The following is a 22,016-nucleotide window of genomic DNA, read 5'->3' as shown; positions in this document are numbered from 1 at the left end:
TGACATGATTGTATATTTAGAAAACCCCATCATCTCAGCCCCAAATCTCCTTAAGCTGAAAAGCAACTTCAGCAAAGTTTCAAGATACAAAATCAATGTGCAAAAATCACAAGCATTCCTATACACCAATAACAGACAAACAGAGCCAAATCATGAGTGAACTCCCATTCACAATAGCTACAAAGAGAATAAAATACCTAGGAATCCACCTTACAAGGAATATGAAGGATCTCTTCAAGGAGAACTACAAACCACTGCTCAATGAAATAAAAGAGGATAGAAACAAATGGAAGAACATTCCATGCTCATGGATAGGAAGAATCAATACCATGAAAATGGCCATACTGCCCAAGGTAATTTATAGATTCAATGCCATCCCCATCAAGCTACCAATGACTTTCTTCACAGAATTGGAAAAAACTACTTTAAAGTTCATATGGAACCAAAAAAGAGCCCACATTGCCAAGACAATTCTAAGCAAAAAGAACAGAGTTGGAGGCATCATGCTACCTGACTTCAAACTATACTACAAGGCTACAGTAACCAAAAGAGCATGGTACTGGTACCAAAACAAAGATATAGACCAATGGAACAGAAGAGAGTCGTCAGAAATAGCACCACACATCTACAACCATCTAATCTTTGACAAACCTGACAAAAACAAGCAATGGGGAAAGGATTCCCTATTTAATAAATAGTGCTGGGAAAACTGGCTAGCCATATGTAGGAAGCTGAAACTGGATCCCTTCCTTACACCTTAAACAAAAATTAATTCAAGATGGATTAAAGACTTAAATGTTAGACCTAAAACCATAAAAACCCTAGAAGAAAACCTAAGCAATACCATTCAGGACATAGGCATGGGCAAGGACTTCATGACTAAACCACCAAAAGCAATGGCAACAGAAGCCAAAATAGAAAAATGGGATCTAATTAAACTAAAGAGCTTCTGCACAGCCAAAGAAACTACCATCAGAGTGAACAGGCCACCTACAGAATGGGAGAAAATTTTTGCAATCTACCCATCTGACAAAGGGCTAATTACCAGAATCTACAAAGAACTTAAACAAATTTACAAGAAAAAATCAAACAACCCCATCAAAAAGTGGGCAAAGGATATGAACAGACACTTCTCAAAAGAAGACATTTATGCAGCCAACAGAGCCATGGAAAAATGCTCATCATCACTGGTCATCAGAGAAATGCAAATCAAAACCACAATGAGATAACACCTCACACCAGTTAGAATGGCAATCATTAAAAAGGCAGGAAACAATAGGTGCTGGAGAGGATGTGGAGAAATAGGAACACTTTTACACTGTTGGTGGGACTGTAAACTAGTTCAACCATTGTGGAAGATAGTGTGGCGATTCCTCAAGGATCTAGAGCTAGAAATACCATTTGACCCAGCGTTCCCATTACTGGGTATATACCCACAGGATTATAAATCGTGCTACTATAAAGACACATGCACACGTATGTTTATTGTGGTACTATTCACAATAGCAAAGACTTGGAACCAACCCAAATGTCCATCAATGATAGACTGGATTAAGAAAATGTGGCACATATACACCATGGAATACTATGCAGCTATAAAAAAGGATGAGTTCATTTCCTTTGCAGGGACATGGATGCAGCTGGAAACCATCATTCTGAGCAAACCATCACAAGGACCGAAAACCAAACACCACATGTTCTCACTCATAGTTCGGAACTGAACAATGAGAACATTTGGACATAAGGCAGGAAACATCACACCCCGGTGCCTGTTGTGGGGTGGGAGACAGGGGGAGGGATAGCATTAGGAGAAATACCTAATGTAAATGATGAGTTAATGGGTGCAGCACACCAACATGGTACATGTATACCTATGTAACAAACCTGCACGTTGTGCACATGTACCCTAGAACTTGAAGTATAATAAAAAAAGAAAAACATCAACAAAATCAAAAAAGTCAGTAAACAAATACAAGAAATGAAACACTAAAAAAAAAACAAAGAAAAGTATTCTCTCTTCTATTGTGTAAAGTCTTGACTGGACAATCAGTCAAGCCTCTCTGCCCTTCTTTTCCTAAGGTTAAATAAATAACTAAATTAGGCCAGTAGGAGTTTCTCTCCAGGACTTTGAAACTTCAACAAAGTATCATAAACATAGGGAAAACAGTTGACTGATTTCAGTGGTAGTGACCTAAGGAAGCTGCCTATCTTCCTTTACCTTGGGTTCTAGATCTACTAGATGCTTCCCTGGCCCAAGACTGCTATTCCAGCCTTTCTTTGAACTACCTGAAAGCCTTGCAATCAGTTAGCCCGACTTTCTGCTGCTGGCAACCTAAGCATGCTAACTGTTAAAGGGGCAAATCCTCTACTTCTTTGTATGGCCCACCACACAAAGCACAGTACTTCGCACAAAGTAGGTGTTCATGAGTGATATTTTGAAGAATTTAATGGAAAATTGAATGCTGACAAAAATAAAGACCAACTATGAAAGCATTTTGTAAATACATAACAGGTATAAAAAATTCTAGTGTAGAGGCCCAGGAATGTGACATTAGTGATAAAATGATTCAACAGTGACTCTACACAATCCTAACGTCCACCCTAGCTACCTTTGCTTTGCTTATTAAATCTTTGAGACAGGAAAGCAGCACACTCTACAAAATCCCACTAAAATGCCCCAAACATGCTAGTTTTTTTAATTCTTACATGTAGAACTTATAGCATATACTGGCCCAGAAGGCCCTCCTTTACCTCCTTTAAGGAATGATAAAGAAATTGATCTGAGCCAGGAAGAATGACACTCACTGGATCATACCACAGAGGTGTCCTATTTTGCATTTTGAAATGGATTTAGCACAATCATGCAAATGTGTACTACCCAGGGCTGGAAGAAATGAGGACAGAGCTCAGAGAAGTCAGGCAAAGGTCAAACATGAAACCAAAATAGAAAGCAATCCCCACAGCAGTTGTACTGCTACACACATCAGGTAGGCAGCTGGACCGAATGACCTCTAAAACCTCCTCCAGTTCAGGCATTCTTTGATTCTACTTCTTTTAGTTGTTCATGCTTATAACTGTCAGGATCAGTCCCACTAACAAACACTGGTAAGTGTAAAAAGACTGTTGAAAATGATGTTTCAACAGTTTCCTTTTAAAAAGAAAAGAAACTTCATTAGTCTACGAGCTGAATTTTTCATTCATTAAACATTTACTAGTGACTTGTTATGCACAAATAACTGTACTAGGAGGAAGGTGGGCAAAGACACAAAGAAATAATGACAGGTGCTGCCTTTAAGTAGCTAATAATTTACTGAAAATAATGCTGGGCCACTTTGTGCTTTCTGACTAAGACTAGTCATAGTAAACAGCAGCAATTTACAAATTAATCAGTGAAAAATGAAGAAGACTTCCTGCTTTCAAGGAGCTTTTAGTTCTTTGTTCATTCACTAATTGATTCCGCAGTCCTCACTAAGCTCTATACCCTATGCTAGGTGTCATGGAGATCAATGACCAATATTAACAAGGTGTCTGCCTTCAAAGAGCTCAAAAGGAAACTGGGGGGTGACCTATGCCGTCTATTTAGTTTTATTATGCCAGTTCTTAGTCTTCTCCAAGTCTATTCCTCCTGTAGCCACAGTGCCATTCTGAAAAATCAAATCTGATCAGGTCACAAACACCCCCACCGTACACCCCCCTTATCCTTCCCCTGCTTAACACACTCCATTGGCTTCTCTTGCTATATAATTCAAATATGAATGGTCTCTAAATGGCAGGATGGCAACCCCTCATAATCTAATGCAGCGTAGTCTAGACAGATTGCAGCTGATGTAATAAGCAGGCTGAAGTATTATCACCAAGCTTAGCACAAATACCCTGTGAGTATTCAGTCATCATCTCTACCCACACAATCCCCAAATCTGGCCAGAATGTAGTGAAGATCCAGAATTGAAGCCCGTGAATAAATAGATCACGGGCAGAAATTGAGACCAAATGATTTATCTTTTATTGCTCCAAGGCAAGCACTCTAGCCTCAGTCCAATAGATATGTGGATAGGTGCAGACTTAAGAAAGGAGAAAACATGATATCCTAAAAAGATCGTTGTGGCAAGGATTTTTATCATGTTTCTAGACCTTTGAAGCACTCTCTGGATAGTTATTTGAGATGTTCCTAGGTCTTCCTAGGCTGCAATTGAAGACTGTGGAGAGATTTTGATCCTTTACAGGAGAGATGTTCTAAACCAAAAATATACTTTAAAGGGTCAGTAACTTCTGCTGCCATCCACACAATATTTATCAAATTCCTTAAGAAACTTATAATTCAGTAAAGATTAAGAAGCACAATAGACAAACCAACTCTATGGGCATAATTCCAATATTGAATTCCAGTTTTCTTTGATAATAAGAAAGGCAAACCAGATTCCCAGGTGAGTATACAAGGCCAGTGGTCAATGAAATGCTAGCTTACTGAATGATGGAAAACTTTCTCTAAACCGTGGTTTCCTTAGCTATAGTTGGGGACATAAATACTTATTTCACAGGGTTATTGTAAGGATTAAATAAAATAATGTGTGAAAAGCAATTAGCACAGTGCTTGAAACTTGGTAGACATCCAAACTGCTGTTCTTGCTGCTATTTCTCTGTTTATCATATGGAGTTAATGCCCATAACTTTACATTTTCCCATTGGGGTGTTACCATATGCTATTTCTATGCAACTCTTTTCCCTCATGAAGAACATTATTCTACATCCTCAGATCTTTTGTAAAAATGTAGAATATTAGTGCTGGAAAGAATTTTGGGGAAACTCCTGATTTAAGAAGTAGTATACCAAGGCCAAAGACTTATTCAAGGTCTCCCAGCTAATTCGTGGCGTAACTATGTCTTGACCTAAGTCTTCTGTTTCTTAGTCTGGTGGCTTTTCAGCTGCATTACTATTATCCAAGTTACAAGGGGCACCTCAAATCAATACATTAATATACACTTATTGAGCAACTACCTGAAAGACATAGAGCTGTACTGAAAACTTTGGACAATATAAAAGAATTATGAGACACATTCTTGCTCCTCTCCTTGCAGACTTCTTTCCTCATTAATTTTATATTAATTTTGAATGCTCCTTTTAATGCTCCTACCTTCAACTATGAGAATAAGAGAATGCAACTGTATACATGAATTCTAAGCTAAGCAGTTTATGGCTGATTATTGCTATGTGGAATTTCCATGGTTAGGGTCAGGCATGCATTCATTTACTTTACATACATTGTCCAGTTAAATTTCCCAACAATCCTATTTTATAGATGAAATGAAAAAAGAATGGGGACGTGAAGTTACTTGCCCAAGTCTCTCTCAGATGCCAAACAAAGCCCCTGTTCCTGCCAAACAGACTCCTTTGAACTTTTTAACTTCAATATTAATCCTTTGAAGCAAAATAAATAAAAAAGGGCAATACCCAAGTGGGATGCATATAAATCGCTTAATTAGTAGACATTTATTCCACAAATATTTGTTAGGTGCCAATTATTTGCCAGACTACATCACAAGAGGGTAAAATCAGTGTCACAGCAGACAGCTACAAATGGTGCTTTTTGCACTTTGCCCATACCCTTGCCACAGGAACCCTCACGCCTGGGTCTTGCTGTGTTTGTGAGCTAGTCCTTCCAGCTGCCAAGGGCTCAGAGATGTTGCTTCTTTTGCTGTTTCATCTTCTGGGTTATCAAGCTTGCTGCTCAGGCCACTGTGCCCTTGACCTTTTTAGGCTCTAGAAGTTACCTCAAGGGGGAATGTTTAGTTCACCCAAAATTTAAGCCGTTTAGAAAGCCATGTGGACGTGTGCTCTGAATGCCCAACCAAAGTGTGAGTGAAGGGCATTTCTCCTTCTTTTAATCTCATTTCCGGCCTTCCCCTAAGCCTGAGGCATGAGTCCTATAGTCTAGACCGTGGGAAAGTTGAGTAGCAGATAAAGTGTGGTATTCAAGCTCCTTCCTGAGCTTGGCCCGTGGCCAGTAGTTGCTTGAACCTGGACGAGTTCTTGCCTAGGAGCCTCCTCAGGCCTTCTAATAAGTTAGGGGTGGCCCAGCTACAGAGACCTCTGGGTGTGTCCAATCCTGAGAGTGAAGAATGTTTAGGTTCTCAGAGATTAATCCTGTTGCACTCTCCTATGGGATGTGGAAGTCCTGTATATGCCAAAAAGAGTGGGACCCCCATTCCCTCCAGCAAGTCTTTCACTATTTTCACCTGCTAACTGAGGCTCCCAGACCTCCCTTGGGTTTATCCACACATTAAACTCTTCCTCTATCTCCACATCTGAAACAGTGATTCTGCCTATGGTATGGCTGAGGAATCACCCTCTCTCTATCAAAACAACCTTCATTTGAAATAACATTAATTAGCCTATGATGAACTGCAACTTAAAGCAAAACAACATATAATGAAACCAATTTTACCACAGGCTAATTGAAATAAACAAGAGTTAAATTCATACAGCATATTTCTGGTCACAAAAACATCAGCAAACTTCTAAATAAAAACCAAAACACTTCTAGTCTAACATTGAAATAAATGTGAGCTATATATACATTCTTAAAAGATTAATAAAAACAAATAAGATAATTACCCAATTTTTGGTGAGTCAGTGAGTGATGGTGCGGTCATCGCGGTGGTGGGTTAAATCAAAGCATAAATGTTTGCAAAGTAAAAACCGTAAGAAGCAGTTCCTTCCATCATGAAGTTCAAAAACAATGACAAATCTAGAGGACTTGCTGAGCACTTTTGCGTCACATCGTTTATTGTCATGCACTTGTATGATTATCATTGAATCTACAAATTTTTACTTGATAATAATTGTTATTTATTTATTTATTCATTCATTCATTTTCTATTCTGCTTTTTCTAGTTCAAGGTCACTGGTGGCCAGACCCTATCCTTGCAGCTCAGGCTTCAAGGCAGAAACCAGCTCTTGCCAGCACATTGTCCCATTGCAGGGTGTGCATGCACGTGTGCTCTCACACCCACACCCACACACAACACCCCCCCCCCCACACACACACACACACACTCAGATTGGGACCATTTAGACATGCCAATGATATCAGGGGTCACATCATTGGGATGTGGGAGGAAACCGGAGTACCTGTAGAAAACCCAGGCAGACATGGGGAGATCCTGTGAACTCCACACTGACGGTGGTCCCAGCAGGAATTGATTAAAACAATGTTATTTGAAGACTTGCTGTATATATATCATTTAAACCTCAAAGGAGCATAATTGCTTAGGTATGAAAATGGAGGCTTCAAAAGGTTAAATAGTTTCCCTGAGGTCACCTAGGTCTTAGGTAAGAGAGCTGGGAGCATGATGAAAGTCTGACCACAAAGACACTTTCCTGACAACTAAGCTACTTTGCCTCCTTAAACTGCTTCTGTTTAATACTAACTGCTGAAATGCAAAATAGATAAAAGGACAACATAAGTAAGAGGAATACAAATGCATAATTAGCATGAATAAAGTGTACATTATCATTTTTAGGTCAAGCCCATTTCTGCGAATGTTCCATTATAAGAGCATCTCAGTTGATAAAAATTCAAAGATGCACATTTGGTAGTTGAAGCAAGAAAATGTCAATAATCCCACTTTATTTTATTAATTTAGATATGGCTCAGGCAAGTACAGCTGGTACTGCTATTCTTAGAGCTAGAAGGAATGAGGGGGAAAATATTTCTGTTAACAGACAGACTCAATCAGATTCAGGAACTGACTCTACTCCCCCAAATCCCTAGTCATCCCGCATCCTGCTCTGCCCCTAACAAATCTTCCACTGCAAATTGCCAGAGAGATGAATGTGAGAATGAAATTGATCAAAATAAGATGAAGGACGAGCAGTCTATCCCAAGTGGCAGTTTGATTAATGAAAGCCAGAAAGCAACTAGTACAATTTGGGAAATCAATGAGACCCAGGTGAAAGCAAAAACAACTGGAAAGCTCTAGTTTTCCCTAGGGGGAAAAAATGCTTTGTATTTGTTTAGATCCTTTGACCTGAGGATGTCAAGGCATTTCACGAGCAATTTATTTTATTCTAGTTTCTGTTATGTGGAGAAATAAACACTAACATTCACACAAGTTTTCCTCTGGGCTGACAGAGGAAACAGGAACAGAGAGAATAGAAAAGGAATCACTGTACTAACAACTTTCCTTGTAATTGATGTCTCCATGAAAGATCAACCAGGCCTTTATGCAGTCATTTTGATTAATCTTGTAGTAGATATCTTTGGGGGCATCTGCCCAATTCAGAGTGGTCATTCTCTGAGACTATTCCCTTCACTCATAGAAGAAAATCCTAGCTGCCATATTTGTTCTGAGTCCTTCCCTATCCCTACCCTGGCCATAGTGGATTGGATCAAGGGTGGACACCTAACCCAACTAGGGCCAATCATATTCTTTCTACAATAACTGGAATTGGGATTCAGAGAACCATTTAATATGGAAGTCAGCCACTGTGAGTTGGGCAAGAGCAGAGGCAGTCTTCAGAGAGAAGAACGAAGCAGTTTAGAGAACTGAGCAGGTGTCTCCGTTGGTTCCTGATAGCTGTCCAGTTTCTGGTCCCAGCCCCCTGTGAGGCCCAGTCACTTGGTCTGACTTTAGGTTGGGTAAAACACTCTTGAACACTATTATTAGTTTCTTCTCATCTACCTAAGTTAGTTCAAGTGAGTTTCTGCTACTTGCAACTAGAAGTATCATCGTAAGTATTTCATTGCTGGGTCTGTCAGGTTCACCTTTGCCTCTAAATATCTGCCTTGCAATCTCTTTCAGTTAGTCTCCTTCCTCTCTATCAATTTCCATTCATTGTGCCTTTTGTTTTTGCTTGCCCATTAAATATAGGTATTCTCTAATGCTCTGTGCTCAATCTATTTCTTCATTGCCTTCCCAGAGAATCTCATCTCCTCCATGGTTTCAGTTAATACCTATAAGCACCTAAATCCCAAATCTATATCTTGAGCCCATGCCTCTTGACTAATATTGCCAAACCACTCTGGATAGACTTATGGGCTCCCCAAACTAAAAAAAAAATGTGAAATTACTCAATCATTTTCCCTCAAAAAAATCTCCTTCTCTCATGATTTATATTAGAATATGGCACTGCACTCTTACCAGTCACTCAAGCTAGATGCCACAGAGATGTTTTCAAGTGTCTCTCTTATATTCCTTTTCATAGTTCTGTCTTCATCATCTCTCAATTGGACAATTTCCTGTAGTTTCCTAAGAATTTTCCTCCTGATACATAACTACCTCCAACCATTGCCAATCCATCCTCTATACTGTCAGAATTATTATTCTAAAACACAAACCAGCCAATGCCATTCATATGCTCAAAAAGAGTCAATAGATCTATATTTTTAATAAAATAAAGGCCAGGATACTTTTTATGATACATAGGTCCTTTCAGAGCTTGGCTTCAAACTGTCTTTTTAACTGCATTGCCTACTTGACTTTGTGCAACAATCACACTATTCTAACTGCTATTTCTCAAACACTTTATGACATTCATTAACTTTTCCGTCATTCATCAATCCATCCATCTGTTCATTAATTCAGTAAGAATTTACTGAGTACACCATAAATACTTTGCAAGGCACTAGGATTATAGGCATGACTTAGGCCTAGTATATGCTCTGAAGGAGCTGCCAGCCTAGGAAGAGACAGGTCATTTCAATTTAGTGAGCCTCCATACTATTATCCTATTGTACTCTTTGTCTAGAGATACTTCCTTAACTCCTAAACCCAAGAAAAGTCTACTCATCCTTCAAAACCCTAACTCAAATACCTTCTCAATCTCCTCGAGCCTGAATTACTCATTCACTATGTCCTCAGCACCTCTTCTCAACGGCACTTTGTTGTAGTGTGGTCTGCATTAAAATTAGTTTAGTGCTGGCCATCAGAGAACTGCAAATCAAAACCACAGCGAGATACCATCTCACACCAGTTACAATGGCGATCATTAAAAAGTCAGGAAACAACAGGTGCTGGAGAGGATGTGGAGAAATAGGAACACTTTTACACTGTTGGTGGGACTGTAAACTAGTTCAACCATTGTGGAAGACAGCGTGGCGATTCCTCAAGGATCTAGAGCTAGAAATAACATTTGACCCAGCCATCCCATTACTGGGTATATACCCAAAGGATTATAAATCATACTGCTATAAAGACACATGGACACAATGTTTATTGCAGCACTATTCACAGTAACAAAGACCTGTAACCAACCCAAATGTCCATCAATGATAGACTGGATTAAGAAAATGTTGCACATATACACCATGGAATACTATGCAGCCATAAAAAAGGATGAGTTCATGTCCTTTGCAGGGACATGGATGAAGCTGGAAACCATCATTCTCAGCAAACTATCACAAGGACAAAAAACCAAACACTGCATGTTCTCACTCATAGGTAGGAATTGAACAATGAGAACATTTGGACACAGCAAGGGGAACATCACACACTGGGGCCTATCATGGGGTGGGGGGAGGGGGGAGGAATAGCATTAGGAGATATACCTAATGTAAATGACTAGTTACTGGGTGCAACACACCAACATGGCGCATGTATACATATGTAACAAACCCGCACTTTGTGCACATGCACCTTAGAACTTAAAGTATAATAAAAAAAATAAATAAATAAAGTAAAATTAGGTTAGTGTTATGTCTATTTCTGTCTTGTGAGTTCATTGAGGACAGTTTGTTGAAGAAACGTTTGTTGAATTAATTTTTGTTAAGTTTAGGACTAACTTATGACAAAAATTCCTCTTTGGATGTATCATGTTTGCTGAAAATTTCATTTTGGAGCCAATAATTTGCACTTTACCTATAGTCAAACTGGGAATCATAAGAGCAGGACCTGTGTCATAGTTTCCTGTGAGGATCAAATGAGTTAACAAATATAAAGCTGTTAGAAAACATAGCAGATACATAACATAATTAGCTATCATTATTGTTATTTCAGTGGTCAATATAACTAGGGAATTGCTAATTTCACATTCCTATGTTTTGAAACATGAAAAATATAGAAAATCATGTGAGAATCTTCTTTTAAATAACAGCCTTATAGAGATATAAGCCACGTACCACACAATTTACTCATTTAAAGTATACAATTCAATGTTTTTAATATATTCACAGAATTGTGCAACCATAACCACAATCAATTTTAGAATATTTTCATCACCACAAAATGGAATTCTGTGTGCATTTGAAGTCAGTCTCTATTTCCCTCAACTCTTCCAGCCCTAAGCAACCACCCAACTTCCTGTTGCTATGGACTTACCTATTCTGGACATTTCATATAAACGGAATCATACAATGTGTCGTCCTTTGTGTCTGGCTTCCTTCACTTTATATAATGTTTTTGAGGTTCATCATGTTGTACTATGTAACTATTTCTTCTTATTGCCTAATCACATTCCATTGTATGGACATAAGACATTTTATTCATCTGTTGATAGACATTTGAATTGTTATCACGTTTTGGCTATTATAAAAATAATGACACAAACATCTGTGTGTGGACATCTGTTTTCTTCATTCTTGGGTATATACCTAGAAGTGTAATTGCTGAGTCATAGAATTCTATATGCAAGCTTTTAAGGAACCAGTCGGTTGTTTTCCAAAGTGCCTGCACCATTTTATATTCTCAGTAGCAGTATAAAAGGGTTCCAACATTTCCACATTCTCATCAACACTTTTCGTTATCTTTTTTAGTATAGCCATCCTAGTGTGTGTGAAGTCATGTTTCATTATGGTTTTGATTTGCATTACCCTGATGGCTGATGATATTGATCAACACTTATTTCTGTGCTTATGGCCATTTGTATATCTTCTTCGGAGAAATTTATTTTCAGATTATTTGCTCATTTTTAAATTGGATTATTTGTCTTCTTCATTATTAAGGTATAGCAGTTCTTTATATATTCTACATATAAGTCCCTTGTCAGATATATAATATGCAAATTTTTTCTCCTCTTCTATGGGTTGTCTTTTTACTTTCTTGATGGTATCATTAGAAAAAACACATTTTTACTTTTGTTGAGGTCCAATTTATCTACGTTTTGTTTTGTTGCTTGTGCTTTTGGCATGATATCTAAGGAACTATTGCCTAATTCAAGGTCATGAAGATTTACATCTATGTTTTCTTTTAGGAATTTTGTAGTTTTAGTTCTTAGATTAAGGCTTTGATCAATTTTTCAGTTACTTTTGTGCAGAGTATGTGATATAGGTTCAACTTCACTCTTTTGCATGTGGATATCCAGTTGTCCTAGCACCACTTGTTGAGAAGATTATTCTTTCCCCATTGAGTTATCTTGGTATCCTTGCCAAAAATCAATTGATCTTAAATGTGAGAGTTTGTTTCTATACTTAAACTTCCATTTCATTAATCTATATGTTTGTTCTTACAATAGCACCATACTATCTTGATTGCTATAGCTTTGTAGTAAGTTTTGAAATTGGTTGGAATTTGTGGGGACTTCCTTTAAGATGTAGATTCCCAGACCCCTTCTCTAGAAATTCTGATTTAATCAGTCTGGGGCAGACTGTGGGAGCATGTATTGCAGGATTTAAAGAATGCCATAGAGTAATGGTCAAGAATGCAAGTTTTGGCCAGGCATGGTGGCTCATGCCTGTAATCCCAACACTTTGGGAGGTCGAACTGGGTGGATTGCTTAAGGCCAGAAGTTCAAGCCCAGCCAGGGCAACATGATGAAACCCTGTCTCTACAAACAACAACAACAACAACAACAACAACAACAACAACAACAAAAGCAGGGTTGATGGTGCACACTTGTAGTCCCAGCATTCAGGAGACTGAGGTAGGAGGACTGCTTGAGCCTGGGAGGTGGAAGTTGCAGAAAGCCAAGATAACTCCACTGCACTCAAGCCTGTGTGACACAGCTAGACCCCATTAAAAAAAAAAAAAAAAAAAAAAAAAAAAGTAAATATTGGAGCCTGACTTACCAGACTTACCAAGACGGAATCTGACCTTACTTACAGGATGACGTGGGAATGACATTTACTGCTTCTTCTGTAAAATAAGAATAATGATGAAACAGGAAATGTTCCCTTGTCCCCCTCACAGGGCATGTGATGGGGGTGTGGCTCGCTTCTTCCGTGCTCTGCTGCTCAAACCTCTAAGGGAGCATACAGCTGGGCAGGCTGTGGGACTCCGGCCCCACAACACTGTCTAGGGGTGAAAGTTTAAAGCTGACGCCTCAATGGGCGTGTGTTACAGGGTGCTCTTTTAGTTTAGCCGTCTGTAGGCGGCTTGTGTTAGTTAGCTCGGCTTGTGTCAGTCAACTCAATTAGACCCCCTTCCTTATCTCAAGGACAGAGGGCTTTTTGTATCCTGGGATTTCTTGCCTTGATGTACCGGAAGAATTGGATCACATGTGGGCTTGGGGAATGAGAGCAAGATTTTATTGAGTTGAAGTAGCTCTCAGCAGATGGGGGAGCCAGAAGGTAGATGGTTTTCCTGTGGAGTCTGGCCGCTCAGCGGCCCAGGCTCTCCTCCAATCTCTCCGGCCAAACTCGCCTCCTTCTGCTGGCCACTGGTCGATGGCCTGCCGGCGTCTGTCCTGTGTCCTTCCACTGGCATGCTCCCCTTGACGTCCCCTCAACGTCCAGCCGCTTGTGTATTCCTTTTGACATCCAGCTGCTTGTGTCTCTGCCTGCCAGGGTGTTGGGGTTTTTATAGGCACAGGATGGAGGCGTGGCGGGCCAGGACAGTCTTAGGAAATGCAACTTTTGGGCGGGAAGGCAGGAGTGCCTGTCCTCACCTAGGTACGTGGGCACAGGTCTGGGGGTGGAGCCCTCCCCAGGGACCACGCCCTCCTCTTCCCAGCAATCCCCTGCCCTCCTTCCATAGCAATAACAGTAATACTTTTCACATAGAGGTTATGAGAACTAAATTAATCGATTCATGTAGGACAGAAGAGTGCCTGGAACTCAGTAAATGTTAAGTAATTGGACTTCCTAACAGTTGGTCATAGGAGCAGACAATGGGGAAATGCAGAAAGGGAGAAAAAAGTATGTGCCAATCTAATGATACGAAATAATTTTTCAGTGACTTTGCAAAATCTAGAAAAAAAAAGTTTTGAATAACAAGGAAAAAAACACATGCCCTGATGAGTAACTGATCTTTTCTTAAATTGTGGTAAAATAGATATAGCATAAAATCGCCATTTTAACCATTTTGAATAATTCAGTGGCATTAAGTACACTCATAATGTCCTGCAACTATCACCTGTATCTATTTCCAAAAATTTTGATCATCCCAAATGGAGACTTTAACAATTACATAATAACTTGCCGTTTTTCTCTCCTACCAGGCCTTGGCAACCTCTAATCCACTTTCTGGCTATATGAATATGCCTATTCTCAATATTTCATATAAGTGAAACCATGCAATATTTGCCTTTTTGTGTCTGGAATATTTCACTTAGCGTAATGTTTTTAAAGCTCCTCCATATTGTAGCATATATAAAATTTCATTCTTTTTTATTGTTGAATAATATTCATTATACACATATACCACATTTTTAATACATGAATTTGTTGATGGACGCTTGGGTTGTTTCTATTTTTTAACTATTGTGAATAAAGCTGCAGTGAACATTAATATACCAATATTTGTGTGAGCCTCTGTTTTCATTACTTTGGGGTATATATCTAGGTGCTGAATTTGAGTAACTGAACTTTTACTAGAAATAAAATGGTGCTTTGGAGTAAAGAAAACCCTTTGTTATCTCTCTCATAGCTTGTCCTTATATGAGGCTACTCTTGTCAATTCTTCCTTGACCTGCATGCCTGCAGCTCATTATAATTGCTGTCTGAGGCATAGAGATATGAATGCCTCTGGAGCCAGGGCAGTCTAGGTAGGAAGAAAGTTAAGAAAAATCCCAGATGATGGAAATTAGTGGCAAGGCTCAAGGTAACCAGAGAGTCTGACCTGTAACCCTTCTTTGCCTCCTTCTCTGATACCTCTTGCTTTTGACAGGATGTTCTGCTCATCCCGAGAGACTAGGAGGTTATGTAAGAACTCAGACAGGGGTGAAGAAGGACTGTATAATTGTGCACATCTCTTGACCCTGTCATCTGCCAAGGCTACCATTACAGCCAGCAGGAGCCATTTAGGGAAAAGAACAGGAGTAGGTGGGATGGGGTCGGTGGGGCAAGGCAGCTATAGGTTGCTAAGGACATTCCCAAATAGAAAGGAAGTCCCTGTCACAGTTGTCTCTTCTCATTACAGAAAGCCCACCTCAGGAATTGTCCCAATGCTCCTAGTTTTATCCCAGGCCTTGCACTGTGCCCCCTGGTGTTTCTCTGATTTCCCTGGCTCATAGTGACCTTTCCCCTTAGTTTGGGATCAGTGAATGGAGAGGGTAATGGTGTTATTGATTGTATCCTTGTAGAGAAAGAGTGTTATTGTAGGCAATATGAATGAGAAATGTATCTTCTATTAGGTTCTACACGTAAAAGGCATAATTCATGTGGTTATCTATGCTTAGAATACTTTATGACTTTTTTGGAAGGATTAAATATATTAAGATGGTAGAATTAGGCAAAAATGAGCTAGTGAGTAAGAACAGCATGCCTCCACTACCCTATACTGGGTACACAGGCTTGATAAAGGAGAAAGAATTATACAGAAGTCTTGAAGGGCTGTAGTAGGTTTCAGGGGAGTTGGTCCCTGTTACCAAAAACGTTTGCACTATGAATAAAAGATGATGCCTGAGTAACACATTTGAGACCTTCTTGGGCATCATCCTTGCCTGTTTTCCATTAGCTTAAGGAGAGGCATGAGTATAGTGATGTCTGTAATTGCCTGTCCTACCTGACACGGTCACTGAATGGCAGAAACCCTGGAGTGGAGATGGGTAGCTGATTCTCCTGGTGGCTTGGGTCACTGGCCTTCTTAGTAGCTTACTTACTTGAGTACTTGCCCTGCTCTTTGGTGGTGGCAGAAAGTCAAGCCCAGCTAGAAAGAGTTGGTCAAGATACAAAAGGGAAAAATACAAACCAAGCAAATAAAATGTTTAAAAATGTTTTAAGAAATCATGATTTAATATTAACAGCACCCAGAACTTCATTGCCAAGTTTATTAAATGTTATCAAAGACATTTAGCTAATATAGATTAAAAGACCCCTAGGCCTCTCTTATTGTCTTCAATCCTATATTGTTAGAAGTGATCTACTTTTTAAAAGTGATGCAGGATATACAAAAATTCTCAATCTCTGCCAGTATTTAGTTCATGTAGAGATGAGCGGGCTCCATTTCTCCTAGACTGAGCTACCATTATCTCCACACCCACTCTATCCTTTTTCATTTCTCCCTGATTCCCGACCTAAGGAAAGAGAGACTGCCCTACTTGTCCTCAAGATTCCCCTTTTAAGCTTCAGGGAATTAAACATGAAGCATAAGAACATTGCATTATCTCCCTGATTCCGAGTAACCAAATGTCCTATTCCACTCATAAAATTTAAATTTTTTCTTCATGTAGTTGTATAAAGCATTTTATCTGACTTGATTTTAAGATGTCGTTTACCTCTCAGAGAAGCAGAATGGTGAAATAGAAAGAACTAAGGTCTAGACTAGGGCAGTTCTGGTCCCAAATCCAAGATCTATATATAAGGTATCTTCATCTCTCTAAGTCACAGTTTCCTCCTATGTAAAATGAGATAATAACAGTTTCTAAGTTTTGGGGAAGCACTAAGTAGGATAATAAATGTAAAGCACAAAAATAGGACAATGTTAAGTTTCCACTCTTTTTCTTGTTTCCCTAGGGAAAGCTCAGCTTCCTCATATACTGTGTACGTGATACAGTCCATGTGGCCTCCTAAGACGAGGGTCATCTTACATATCCCAGAGTCCAGATCATGTCTGCGCTGTTTTTCTGACATCAAAAGTTTATGCTCTTGTTGGGAGTCCACTGGAAATGACGTTTTCTTGAAGTGTATTTAATGATATAAGGAAATGAACAGGCACCATTCATGAAAATATAAGATAGAAATTATGCAGTATAAATACAGTTTTCAGAAAAGAATATATGTCCATACGTTTATATATAGGACATTTGGTGGCATCACAATTTATCTCACCTGTATAATACCAGGTAGTTGTTCAGGAAGATACCAGACACTTTTTTTTTCTTGCTGAGTTGCGGCATTTAAAACTGAAAAGAAAAGCAAAATTGCCTACATGTGGGAAATATTCAGAGGGAGAGAGGATTTAGCTAAAAGCTAAATACAGAGCAGGAATTTTTAAAGCAAAATGCTGTGTGTTCTCTGAGGCTGTTTCTACCCTTTTCTCTCATCTGCTTGAAATTATCGGTAAAGTAGGGATTGCTCATCGGGTACGAAATGATACAAGATGAGTGAGGGGAAAGCCACAGGCTGCTGATGGGCCCTGACTAAATCGAGAGGATTATAATCACACACTCACGCATGCGCGTACACATGCATTGAAAAAAGAGAAGGAAAAGACAAAAAAAGTTATCAACTTTGTGTAATGATATTCCCTATTGAATTGCATTTTCCAAGCTTAAAAATGCCTCTTGGGCTTTATTTGACAAGCTGAAATAGTAAACTGATCATGAGCCCCAAGAAAAACTAAAGCTGTCCTGGATTAGGGTTTTATTCTCTCCACTTCCCAGATCTTTGGTGCTCATAGTGGATCTTCAATAGAAGAATAGCGTTATCAAATTTTGAGTTAACTTTTCAACATCCAATCTTTTAAATCATATAACAATGTACTACACTAAGACATCACTTTTCAGAGAGACTTACCAAAGGCCACACATAATTAGTGAGAAAACAACCTTGGAAGCCTTGACTCCATGTTACCTCTACGCCTCTCTTTCTTCATTGCTTTTATATGCATGAGCATTAAGAAAAAACAATGTGTGTTAATGTGCATGTGATTGTATGTGTGTGTATGTGTGGAGAGAAAGAGAAAGATAAGAGAGCGAGAGAAATTACATATATATGCATAGATACATACATGTATCTATATATTATATACATTTCTATGTTTGTGTGTATTTTTTTTCTTGAGGGTGCAATAGTCTTAATTTACACTTTACATTAAAGTGTAAATTAATTGTACTTTAATGCCAGAAATATCTCAAAACATCTGGACCTCTGTCAGGGTTATGGCGTGAGGGAACTGTGACTTGGGAAGCCAACCAGGAAGGTATGCTCAAGAAGCAATTCTTAGGACTTAATGTTTCAAATAAAGGGCTTAATCATCATGTGAAACCCTCAGGGCCCAGGCCCAGAAAGAGCAAATTTCCTCTAAAGGACTTCTAGCATCAAGTCTCTGCTTGGTTTGGTTAGTCCATCAGGCACAGTTCCTAGTGTAGTCTCAGGCAGGCATTCTCTCTCATTTATAGCCATGGATCTAGCCCCATTCTATGAGTAGACCAAGCTAGTTCCTTACATGACAAGCTAGTTCCTTACATGACAAGCTAGTTCCTTCCATTCAGTCCAAGGGGTGACTGAATGGGTTGGGGAAGGTCAATTTCTTAGTCTAACCCTCTTTCACTCCTGGGCCAATAGCTAAATCCAGTGCTCATTTCTCCTATTTTGCTTCACCACCCCAAAATTTCACCTTAGATTATAAGGTGATCATCACTGGACACACCTCCAAGAGAAGGGTAGGCCCCTAGAAGCCAAACTAACAGGAGTAACAGATCTTCCCTTCTAAAAATAGTGACTATCCTGTATTAATAATTAAAGATCAGCAAAGGACAGATGCAAGTTTAACACTGGAATGGTCCTTAATTAAAGATCCTCTAGACAGGAATTTCAAAACTGCTTTGTGGTGCTCCATGCCTCCTTGGACTTGCTACAGATTTGTGAGTTGTTTTGTGAAAAGTCTTGGGCTCTCAGTGCTTTTGTGCAATTAGAGATCTTTCACATACTAAAGGGCTTTAGTTCTATGTGCAGCCTCATGCTCCTTTACAATTCCCAGATTATGTATGCTCTTGCCTTCCCTCTGGTTAAGGACACATTTCCGGTGCTGGAGCCGTATGGCATAATGGCAGGAGCATGGGCTTTGAAACTAAACAAGCTAAGCTCCATTCTCAGGACTGCCACTCATTAACCTGTTGCTGGTAGCTCTGGGCATCACTTTCCTCATCCATAAAAAAGTATGTTTTGGTGGAAGGTGGGGGGATGTACGGTAAGGATTAAGCGAGATTGGACAGTGCCTGCCATATGGTAGGAAATGTCTGCTACTACTGCTATTATTATTATTTCTGTTACTATTGACCCAAGTGTCTGAGTAAGATTGTTTTACATTGCCACCAGGAGGTAGAAAATTAATAATTAATTTGACAGGCCTCAAAAAAGGAGTAACATGAAAAGGAATGAGAAAGATACTATAAATATCCACCCATAATCTTATTTTTAGTACTTCATTAACATTGTTATTATTATTTTTGGAGTCTCCCAACCATTTCTGCAGAAATTTTTTAATTCATGGATCATAGGTTTCAAGCTGGCATAATTCTTCCTTCATTATAATTTGCCATATGTGGACATGTTCTCTATATTTAGACTTGAATATAAAAACTTTACCATCTTGCCGAAATGCCAGGGTTTTTGAAAATTTGAATATAGTCAAACTGTCTGGTTTGTAGAGGAAATAACAGGCCTACAAATTTTAACATACTTGCCAAAAAGGATCACAGAACAGAATTTGGATTTTCTCATTTCTTAACAACTAGTTCATGGGAAACTAACATAAGACCCATAGAGCCTCAATTTTAGTGAGATACACAAGAAGCACATTTAATTGTGCTGTGAATTTGAAGCAGATACAACTTGAAAAGAAATGAAACTGTTCTTCACTTTGGCTGTATCAGCCCAGTCCCACATTCTCCTTTGAAGGACAACAAAAGAAGAAATAGCCTGAACAAGAATCCAGTACTGCTTTCCAAACTCCAGGCCAGGTTTTTCTTTTCGAATTGTGGGTTTTAAAACAGAAAGAAAAAAAGGAAAACGAAGGGAAAAATCTCCTTTTTGTTTTCTGATTTCCTCACAGTATTTTTCTAAGAATATCCCGTGGTTAGTCACTATATATGGTGCTGTACTGATTTTCTCATATGCCAAAAGGTTAGGAAGATCTTTTACATTTTAAAGATCTTTATATTTTTAGGAAGATCATTTATATTTTACAGATAATGTCTCAGTAACTACTTGGTTAAAAACCTAGTTTCTGTTTTTAAAAGCGCTTACTTTTATTGTGATGATGGACTTGAGAGAGAGTTTTTAAAAATTTATTTTTTTAGTATTGTTTTATTGTTGTTGGTTGTTTGCTTGCTTGCAAGAAACAAGCTTATTTTTCCATAGAATCATCTTGATAATGTAGCTGTAGAAATGTTTTAGGGATCTACAGGAGCCCTATGAAGAACGCTTTCTAAAAACAGTTCCATATACTCTAGAAGACTGACACCACGGACATGTATGCACACACGCACACACACGATTACTAAGACAGCAAGTTACTGTTGTCAATAAACATGGCTAGGACCACTTGCCTAATGCCTGGCCTCACCCTCCTTTTGTCACTCCTCTTCTCTGGGCTCCTGATACCCTTCTGCAGCCCAGTTATCTCCCAGGCTGACTCCATGCTGCCAGAGCTCTCCAGGTGACACAGAATCACAGCATGTATCCTGCTAGTGTGTTTCTAACCATGAGCCACCAATTTAGTTGCTGAGTTCATTTCTAACTCCGGACATAGGTCCAGGACCTGGGCCCTATTTTGGTCCCCTGTGCCACAGTCTTTGCTTATAATCTATACTGCACAGCAGGTTTACCAGGATAGAGGCTCATTTTTATTCCTGTCAAACTCACCTAAGAACTAGACTATTACCCCACATCTGGGATTTTGTTTCAAACCTTCCCAGTAATAACTCCTAGCCTGTTGGCCTGGATCACTACACATTACTTGCTACTAGGCTTATTGCTGTTAATCTTGCCCTGCAATGTACTGAGCATCAATTATGTACCAGATATCATAATTGGAATTTACCTTACTATGGGTAGTGTGCAGTATTGTGGTTAAGAATACTGACTCTGAATGCCAGGTAAATTTTAGCTCCACCGTTTACTATGATTTAGAACAAGATGCTTAATGTTTCTATGCCCCAGTCCCTTACCTATAAACAGCATAAAAACATCACCCACCATTTAGGGTTTTGGTGAGAATCAAGTGAAGTAATAAATACAAATCAAGTCAGCATGCTTAGCACTCAGTGAATGTTAGAAATTTCAGAACTTTATTCCATAGACATTTTTTACCCATTTCATGTATAATTTTACTTAGAGCTAAGTAACTTGCTCAAGGCCAAGTAATAGAGCTAGGATTTGAAACCAGGTCTGTCTGACTCCGAATTCATTCATTCAGCAAATGTTTGTTGACTATTCTTTGCTGGCTTTGACAAAAGATGGCCTCTAATAAGCCAAGGAATCATTGATCATCAGAGAAATGCAAATTAAAGCTACAGTGAGATATTATCTCATCCCAGTTAAAATGGCTTTTATCCAAAAGACAGGCAATAACAAATGTTGGTGAGGATGTGGAGAAAAGGGAACCCTGTACACTGTTGGTAGGAACGTAAATTAGTACATCCACTATGGAGAACAGTTTGGAGGTTCATCAAAAAACTAAAAATTAAGCTACCATATGATCCAGCAATCCCACTGCCGGGTATATACCCAAAAGAATCAGTATATGGAAGAGATATCTACACTCCTATGTTTGTTACAACAGTGTTTACAATTGCTAAGATTTGGAAGCAAGCTAAGCGTCCATCAACAGATGAATGGATACAGAAAATGTGGCACATATACACAATGGAGTACCATTCAGCCATAAAAAAGAATAAGATTCTGTCACTTGCAACAACATGGATGGAACAGAAGATTATTATGTTAAGTGAAATAAGCCAGGCACAGAAAGACAAACATT

At 39.0% G+C, this 22,016-nt stretch overlaps 1 long non-coding RNA gene across 1 annotated transcript in view; it reads right to left on the bottom strand.

Annotated features, from left to right (window-relative positions):
* The window catches only part of LOC102724768 (uncharacterized), a 52,436-nt gene that overhangs the window by 26,335 nt on the left and 4,085 nt on the right, over positions 1–22,016 (bottom strand). Inside the window, exon 2 of the long non-coding RNA XR_428752.5 lies at positions 17,141–17,214. This is a non-coding gene — a long non-coding RNA (uncharacterized LOC102724768). The remainder of the gene's footprint in view (positions 1–17,140; positions 17,215–22,016) is intronic.

Source organism: Homo sapiens, chromosome 10 (assembly GCF_000001405.40).
Source record: "Homo sapiens chromosome 10, GRCh38.p14 Primary Assembly".
Taxonomy (NCBI): domain Eukaryota; kingdom Metazoa; phylum Chordata; class Mammalia; order Primates; family Hominidae; genus Homo; species Homo sapiens.
The sequence above is the reverse complement of the archived record's forward strand: the minus strand, read 5'-3'. Positions and strand labels throughout refer to the sequence as shown.